The sequence below is a fragment of the Homo sapiens genome, chromosome 2 (genome assembly GCF_000001405.40).
Source record: "Homo sapiens chromosome 2, GRCh38.p14 Primary Assembly".
In the NCBI taxonomy this organism is placed as follows: Eukaryota; Metazoa; Chordata; class Mammalia; order Primates; family Hominidae; genus Homo; species Homo sapiens.
In genome coordinates this window covers 215,154,851-215,164,058 of record NC_000002.12, presented here as the reverse complement: position 1 = coordinate 215,164,058, position 9,208 = coordinate 215,154,851, and the positions used below count along the sequence as shown (strand labels likewise).

At 43.5% G+C, this 9,208-nt stretch overlaps 1 annotated feature.

Moving 5' to 3' along the window:
- Positions 374 to 541: a silencer, noted in NCBI's record as "fragment chr2:216028241-216028408 (GRCh37/hg19 assembly coordinates)". NCBI's record gives its function as "represses an EF-1alpha promoter that drives an FKBP-Casp9 reporter gene in an ReSE screen in K562 erythroleukemia cells {active_cell/tissue: K562}" and the evidence as "EXISTENCE:reporter gene assay evidence [ECO:0000049][PMID:32094911]".

Here is a 9,208-nt window from a genome sequence, read left to right as displayed (position 1 = left end):
CTCCAGCTCCTGACAGCGAGTGATCTGCCAGCCTCGGCCTCCCGAGGTGCTGGGATTGCAGACGGAGTCTCGCTCACTCAGTGCTCAATGTTGCCCAGGCTGGAGTGCAGTGGCATGATCTCAACTCGCTACAACCTCCACCTCCCAGCCGCCTGCCTTGGCCTCCCAAAGTGCTGAGATTGCAGCCTCTGCCCGGCTGCCACCCCATCTGGGAAGTGAGGAGCGTCTCTGCCTGGCCACCCATTGTCTGGGATGTGAGGAGCCCCTCTGCCCGGCCGCCCAGTCTGGGAAGTGAGGAGCGCTTCTTCCCGGCCACCATCCCATCTAGGAAGTGAGGAGCGTCTCTGCCCGGCCACCCATCGTCTGAGATGTGGGGAGCGCCTCTGCCCCGCTGCCCCATCTGGGATGTGAGGAGCGCCTCTGCCCGGACAGTGCCCCGTCTGGGAACTGAGGAGCGTCTCTGCCCAACCGCCACCCCGTCTGGGAGGTGAGGAGTGTCTCTGCCCGGCTGCCCCGTCTGAGAAGTGAGGAGCCCCTCTGCCCGGCAGCCACCCCCTCTGGGAAGCGAGGAGCCCCTCCGCCCGGCAGCCACCCCGTCTGGGAAGTGAGGAGCGTTTCCGCCCGGCAGCCACCCCGTCTGGGAAGTGAGGAGCGTTTCCGCCCGGCAGCCGCCCCGTCCGGGAGGGAGGTGGGGGGCAGCCCCCGCCCAGCAGCTGCCCCGTCCGGGAGGTGGGGGGGCGCCTCTGCCTGGCCACCCTGTCTGGGAAGTGAGGAGCCCCTCTGCCCAGCCGCCACCCCATCTGGGAGGTGTACCCAACAGCTCATTGAGAATGGGCCATGATGATGATGCTGGTTTTGTCGAATAGAAAAGGGGGAAATGTGGGGAAAAGAAAGAGATCGGATTTTTACTGTGTCTGTGTGGAAAGAAGTAGACGTGGGAGACTCCATTTTGTTCTGTACTAAGAAAAATTCTTCTGCCTTGGGATCCTGTTAATCTATAACCTTACCCCCAACCCCGTGCTCTCTGAAACATGTGCTGTGTCCACTCAGGGTTAAATGGATTAAGGGCGGTGCAAGATGTGCTTTGTTAAACAGATGCTTGAAGGCAGCATGCTCGTTAAGAGTCATCACCACTCCCTAATCTCAAGTACCCAGGGACACAAACACTGTGGAAGGCCGCAGCGTCCTCTGCCTAGGAAAACCAGAGACCCTTGTTCACTTGTTTATCTGCTGACCTTCCCTCCACTATTGTCCTATGACCCTGCCAAATCCCCCTCTCCGAGAAACACCCAAGAATGATCAATAAATACTATAAAAAAATAAATAAATAAATAAAAGAATGTGTATTTTGTGGTTCTTGGATAAAATGTTCTGTATATATCTGTTAAGTCCATTTGTCTTTGTTGGGTTGGGTTAATTCTAAGACCTTGTCTTAGATCTCTGAATTTCTTTCTTCTAGTTGTTCAATTTTACTGCTGAGACTTTTCAGAGCATTTTGCATTTCTAAAAGTTTATCCAAAGTTTCCCGAGTTTTTTTTTATTGTTTTTTCTTTAAGCTATCTATTTCCTTGAATATTTCTCTCTTCACTTCCTGTATCATGTTTTGGATTTCTTTGCATTGGGCTTCACCATTCTCTCTTCCCTCCCTGATTAACTTAACAACTAATCTCCTGGATTCTTTTTCAGGTAAATCAGGGATTTCTTCTTTTGGATCCATTGCTGGTGAAGTTGTGTGATTTTTTTGGGGGGTGTTGAAGAGCCTTGTTTTTTCATATTACCAGGGTTGGTTTTCTGTTTCCTTCTCATTTGGGTAGGCTCTGTCAGAGGGAAGGTCTATGTCTGAAGGCTGTTGTTCAGATTTTTTTGTCCCACGGGGTGTTCCCTTGATGCAGTACTCTCCCCTTTTCCCAGTGGATGTGGCTTCCTGTGAGCCAAGAGTAGTGATTGTTGTCTCTCTTCTGGGTCTAGCAACCCAGCGAGTCTACCCGGCTCTGGGATGGTACTGGGGGTTGTCTGCACAGAGTTCTGTGATATGAACCATCTGTGAGTTTCTCAGCCGTGGATACCAGTGCCTGTTCTGGTGAAGGTGGTGGAGGGTGCAGTGGACTGCATGAGGGTCCTTAGCTTTGGTGGTTTAATGCACTATTTTTGTGCTGGTTGGCCTCCTGCCAGGAGGTGGCACTTTCCCGAAAGCATCAGCTATAGTAGTGTGGAGAGGGAGTGGCGGTGGATGGGGCCCTAGAACCCCCAATATTAAATGCCCTCTGTGTTTGGCTACTAGGGTGAATTTTGAAGAACCATTAGATAAGCCTGGTGCTAGGGGCGGGTTTTGCTGCAGCTACTGTGGGGAATGGGGGTGAGATTCCCAGGTCACTGGAGTTGTGTACCTAGGAGGATTATGGCTACCGCTGCTGAGTCATGTAGATTGTCAAGGAAGTGGGGAAAGCTGGCAGTTACAGGCCTCACCCAGCTCCCATGCAAATTGAAGGGCCAGTCTCACTCCCACCGTACCTCCCCCAACAGCCCAGAGTCTGTTTCCAGGTGGAGGGCAAGATGGGCTTGAAAACATGCCTGAGGCTTTCCGCCTCCTTATCTGCGAAAGAAAAGGGCTTTAGTTCTTTCCCCTGCCTGTGAAGTCTGCACACCTGTGCAGTTCTGGCCAGGAGGCTTCTGTTCTGCCTGTGAGTTCTAGCCAGGAGGCTTCTCGCCCCGTTCACATTGTTACAAAGTTAAGCTAAAGAAGTCCTTCTCCCCGTGGAGTTTTACCCCCTGCTCCTCTGGCCACCCTCCCGATGGATCCTTGTGGTGTCAGGCAGGAATGGGCTGCTAAGGGACCCAGCGAGTTCCCAGGGCCTTTCTGCTGCTTCCTCTACTCTTGTATTTCACTCAGCTTGGCTGTCTAACTTGACTCAGCCCCAGGTACAGTCAGAAACTTCTCCTGCAATCAGACCTTCAGCTTCTCCAGTGGGGGTGTGTGTTCAGGAGAGGAGGGTCTCCCTTTCCCACTTCCGCAGTTGGGGCACTCATGATATTTGAGGTGTCTTCTGGACCCTGCAGGAGCTGTCTGCTTCCTTCAGAGTTTCTGTGGGTCCTCTCAGGATTGCTGGTCTGTTTTTGCAGTCAATCTGGAGCTAAAATTCACAGTGCAAGCCTCCGCTCGCTGCTCTGTCTGGAGCTGCAATTCTAGTCCTGCCTCCCGTCTGCCATGATCCCTCAGTAATCTGTAATTTTTTTAGATGGTTGCAGTATCTGCTCTTACATTTTAAGTAAAATCATGTAAGCATTTTAAAGTTTCCATTTGTTTTCTCTCATCATTGTTTTCTCTGTTCTGTTTGTTCAGTTTCCATCTTTGAGTTTAAACTTCCCTTAGTCGCCTGGTGGTCTCTGGCTGTTCATTTTTAAATAAGATATTATTGAGAGCTCTGTTTCTAGGCACAGTTTGCCAATTTGTGGACCTTGCCACAGAGTGATTGGATGGAGCGTCTGGCTATCTCACTGGGATGCTCCCCAAATAAGATTTGAAGTATTTTCTTTTGGTTAAATCAATTTTCTCAAAAGTAAAGTCTACAATCTCCTACCTAATGATATGTACTTTGCTGTAAGCATTTTGGGAGTCCAGCAGGAAAAAGTTGTTGGTGAAGGGAGTGGGAGTGGAAGGAACAGCCAATTTTATCAGCCCCCAAAAGTTAAGTGCTCTTTGGAGAATAAGCCAGATCTTACTCATTGTAGCATTTCTCATGGGAATGAGCTAGACAGCTTGCATATTGTGACATAAAGATGTTGGCAGTTTGGCTGGGATATTTGTCACACTATTATTTGTCAGGGTTGATTTAAGTGATTGTTTCATGCTTCATGGGTGTCCCTTTAGAAACTGTGAAAGGGGATAAAAAGCTTCAACAATAGAGAGGCCTACTCTGTTTTTTGTTTTGTTTTATTTTTTTTTATTTTTTTTAATTTTTTTTTGAGACGGAGTCTTGCCCTGTCGCCCAGGCTGGAGTGCAGTGGCATGATCTCGGCTCACTGCAAGCTCCGCCTCCCAGGTTCACACCATTCTCCTGCCTCAGCCTCCCAAGTAGCTGGGATTACAGGCGCCTGCCACCACACCCGGCTAATTTTTTTTGTATTTTTAGTAGAGACAGGGTTTCACGTGTTAGCCAGGATGCTCTCCATCTCCTGACCTTGTGATCTGCCTGCCTTGGCCTCCCAAAGTGCTGGGATTACAGGCGTGAGCCGCTGAGCCTGACCTTGTTTTATTTTTTGAGACAGGGTCTTGCTTGTTGCCCAGACTGGAGTGCAATGGCACAATCTCAGTTCACTGCAACCTCTGCCTCCCGGGTTCAAGCAATTCTCCTGCCTCAGCCTCCCAAGTAGCTGTGATTACAGGCGTGTGCCACCACACCTGGCTAAGTTTTGTATTTTAGTAAAGACTGGGTTTTACCATGTTGGCCAGGCTAGAAAGGCCTACTCTTTCATCACAGTGACTACATTGCTGAGCCTCCAGCTACGAGACAGAAGATACAAGATAGGACTTAACATATGTGTAAGGCACTTAAAGTAGTTCTTGGCACAGGAACTATTATTAGATACACAATTATCCATTATTTTACATCAATTTATTAAGTAAATACCGCTTTTTTACCTACAGTTTTGCTAAAACGGTCCTTACTTCAAATAAAATCCTACTCTCAACTAGCTTATATCCTAGAAAAGACACTTGAAAAATTGATAAACAATTGAGAAAAAAAGACAGATGAAACAAGATGAAATCCATGTTATTGAAGAGAGTAACAGAGATCCAAAGAAGTCACCTTCTTCTAGGGCAGAAAGAATCTTTTCTGCGCTCAAAGAGAATTCAGGGCTCCTTCATCTTGAGTGTCTGGGGCTTTAACCAGTATACATCGGATTTGGTTTTTATTCTACTCCAGAAATCTTCTGTGAAGCCCTTTAATTCACAGAACCCAAATATTTCCCCTGAGAGGTGATGTCACTCAAATGTTTGCTTCCTCTTTAATATATTTGTATTTCTAAAGATGTACTAATGTTTATGGACAGGCTTTATTTTCATAGAAACAGGAATCATATGCCATCCCATATACTTCCGATAAGTATTTCAGCTGTTTTCTGTTGTCCTTAAAGAAACAGGATACCCAGAGGACAGTAGGAAGCTAAAATGATCAGTATTATCCCACAAGAGAATTAAAGAGTGTAGAAAAAGGCATTATCACATGATATCAAATGGCAGAAAACTAGGTTAAACCTTTTAGCAGGCTGGGCTGTTGTCCTTTGAGGGACAACTCGGAGACCTACTGATGCATTTCAACAATGACTGCGATCATCACTGCATTTCTATTCCTTGCTGTGATGAGAGAAGCTTGTATTCTCAGTAGAGGTCCCAGGCTTGGAAATAAGTTGGTTTTCTTAAAATAGCTTATTGAAAGGAAGCTCTTGCAAAAGCGATCAGCGTCATTACCAATAAACTGTTTTGTTTATCTTTAATGTGAACGAATGTCATCCAGAAATGGAGCTTCTTCCTGCCTAGTGTCACTGACCACCATTGGCTGCAATGGAAAATATTGATTTAAGGAAATACTGTTTATTCAACAAAAATTTACTGAGTCGAGCACTGTGTAGGCCCTAGAGATACACTGTGATGCCAATACGTGAAGGATTTTAATATTTACAATCTAATGAGGGAGACAAAGAGCAATGAAATAATCACACACAAAAAATGTAAATGCCAACTCTATAAGGGCTACCAAAGAGAAAAGCACAGTGCTGTGGATGTTAGGTTAGACATTTGTAAGAAAATGACTGCCAGAGAGAGTGAGTGGGTATGAAACTCAGAGAGGGCAGGAGGGAAGTGTGTGCAAGACCGTGACCCTGGGAAGGGAAAGAGTGGGATGAAGAGACAGTGAAAGAAAACAGGTAGGGAGAGTTTTGGAGGATGGTGGACTCTAAGTATTAGACCATAGACAGTCTTGTGGACCATTAAGCAGTTCCGTCGTTGTCCTAAACACAAAGGGAAGCCATTCAAGGGCTTTAAGAAAGGGAGTGACATCTTTAGACCTGTGCTTTGAAAAGATCATTTTGGCTGCAATTTGGAGAATAACTTGGAAAGGCAAGAGTGGATGCGTAGTTGTGTGTAGATCATGTATCACTGGTCAAGCCTTATTGAGAACTGTTACATGAAAGCAGCACTTAATTTATAAGAGAATAAAACTAATGGATGTCAAAAAATTCAATCTGATATTCTCCTAGATTAGTGGCTGCTGAAAACTTTCAGGACAAATGACTTAAAAAATCTCTCAGAAGAGAAAATCTACTATATTTCTTGGGAACAGATACTGACATTTGACTATTACAGGGGAACCCATTCAGTGCTTTAAAATGCCATACCTTTTATTGGATAACTTTCACAACAATATTGAGAAGCAATTTGGGAGCATAATTTCAATTTTACAGATGCGGAGTTTAAGAACCTAGGTACAGAGAGACCTAGTGACTTGTCCTGGGTCATGAAAAAATTGAATAGCAGTGCTAACTGTTGACTTTCTTCTCAAGCTTTCAATTCCTTGAGTTGTCTAGATGACTTGGCATTCACCAGAAATGTCTCAGAGCACTTAAAGTTAGACCACAATTAAGCATAATATTGTAGACTTGGCACACATCTCCCTAAGGTTATTCTAAGCATGAAACTGCACCCTTGACCTCAATTTTTACACTTTACATACACGTTTTGTTCACTTTTTCACTTAATTTCATCAATCCCTTCATGTTACTTATTTGTCCTTTAGGTTTATACACAGTAGTTTTATGAACTTATAAGGATGCCACTAAGTTCTCAACTCTACCCCATATAGATTTGCCAAAGGCTGTGTGTTTACTGCAATGAACGTGAGGGAGTTTTGAGAGTTGATGCATGTTAGCCCCATAGAAAATGATGTATATGAACTGTGGCCTTCTAATAAAATCTTTCTCCATTCTTTTTAAGGTGATAAAAGGTAAAATCTATAAATTGTTTCAGAAATTAAATTAATGGTAACAGTAATGTTCTTCCCTAAATGACGATTTTAATTAACGTCTCTTGTTTAACCTGTATTTGTAATATTGACTGCCTATTATCTAGAGTTTCCAAGAAGCTTTAAAAGTGTACTATCTTCTAAAATTCCTGGAGAATGACAATGAATGACTTTCCCACCTTTTTTTTCCCCCGACTACAGGCAGACTTCTGGCCTAGAATCAAAACTCAGAATTTTTATTAGTTTTTTTTTTAATTGCATTAGAGAAAGTAGTTTGAATGGTTTGATTATTCACAGCAATAGGGCATTAGCAGAAAAGAAAATATTTCATATCATAAAGATGTTATAATAGATATTGAAATTCATCTTTGAAATGCTGACAAAGCATTTAACCTTCCATCTTAGTCATTCAACTGTAACTATCTGGGTAAATTCAGGCAAAAGCCTTTCATGTGTTTTTAACTAAAACATCCTACTAATGGGGAGAAGTCTCGGGCTTGATTGAAATTATACATATATATTTCTACTTAAACCTTTATATTCTATTAGGCCAGTATATTCTTTTTGGCAAAGATTTCTAATTTTACCATTATTTAGTCAAAGTATTTGGAACTCTTTGGATCCAGTAATCAAGTAAATAAAAGTCTGGAAGATTAACTTAGTGGGTAAAATTGTGGGAAAAAGTTTAAGGAGGAGCAGGATTTTTGCATAGTCTCAAAGTGTCCTACTGAAAATAGTCATTCTACAGTGAAGAAACTTGGCATGCATTACTTCAACCAAGGCTCATAACTAACATTTGGCAAATGATATAATGGTGATGTTAACAGTGTGTCCTAGAGAAAAATTTCGTGTTCTTTGATCATGTATCCTCACGATGAAATAAAAGCCTGGTAAAATGTAAGCTCCATAATGTTTATCATCAGGGGCATAAACTTTTTTTTTTTTTTCTTTGGAGACAGAGTCTCACTCTGTCGCCCAGGCTGGAGTGCAGTGGTATGATCTCAGCTCACTGCAACTTCCGCCTCCTGGGTTCAAGTGATTCTAGCCTCCAGAGTAGCTGGGATTACAGGTGCCCGCCATCACACCCGGCTAATTTTTTTGTATATTTAGTAGAGATGGGGTTTTGCCATGTTGGCTGGGCTGGTCTTGAACTCCTGACCCCAGGTGATCCGCCCACCTCGGCCTCCCAAAGTGCTGGGGTGACAGGCGTGAGCCACCGCACCCGGCCTATCAGGGGCATAATCTTAATCTGACATAGTTACTTGTTATGCCTTGAGCACTTAGTAAATGTTCAGTGATAAGAAATTACTTACTCATTTGAAAAGCAAACATTTATTAAACATTTATAGAAAATCTAGTATGGAATACACACATATACACACACACACATTTCACACATTTAAGAAAGTACTTTTTTTTTTTTTTTTTTGAGACAGAGTTCCGCTCTTGTTGCCCAGACTGGAGTGCAATCGCACTATCTCGGCTCACTGCAACCTCCACCTTCTGGGTTCAAGCGATTCTCCTGCCCCAGGTTCCTGAGTAGCTGGGATTACAGGCACCCGCCACCACACCCAGCTAATTTTTGTATGTTTAGTAGAGACAGGGTTTCCCCATGTTGGCTAGGCTGGTCTCGAACTCCTGACCTCAGGTGCTCTGCCTGCCTCGGCCTCCCAAAGTGCTGGGATTATGGGCGTAAGCCACCGCACCCGGCCAAGAAACAACTCTTTAAAGAATTCTGTTACATGATTGAGACTACACTGGGTTTCAGAATTTTGACTTAAATATTCACACTGGATTCTACTAGTTTAGCTATCTCTAACTCTGGATTTATAAAACCAACATAAATTAGTTAAACATAATTGAAGTTAACCCAAAGAATAAAATAAATATCAATGAGTCCATATTGATATAGATAAGTAACTGAATAAATAGAGAAATGGTAGACAAGAGTTAACATGTATTTACAGAAGAGTTCCAATTAGTAACTGTAGAAGGAAGGTGGTAATATAAATTCACTATTATAAGACTACAGTGCAGACAAAGGAGCAAAGACAATACATTGGGGAAATATCACCTTTTCAACAAATAGTGCTAGAACACTGGATATCCATCCAAAAAAAAAAAAAAAAAAAGAATCTAGACATAGACCTCACACTTTTCACAAAAATTAACTCAAAATGGATCAGAGA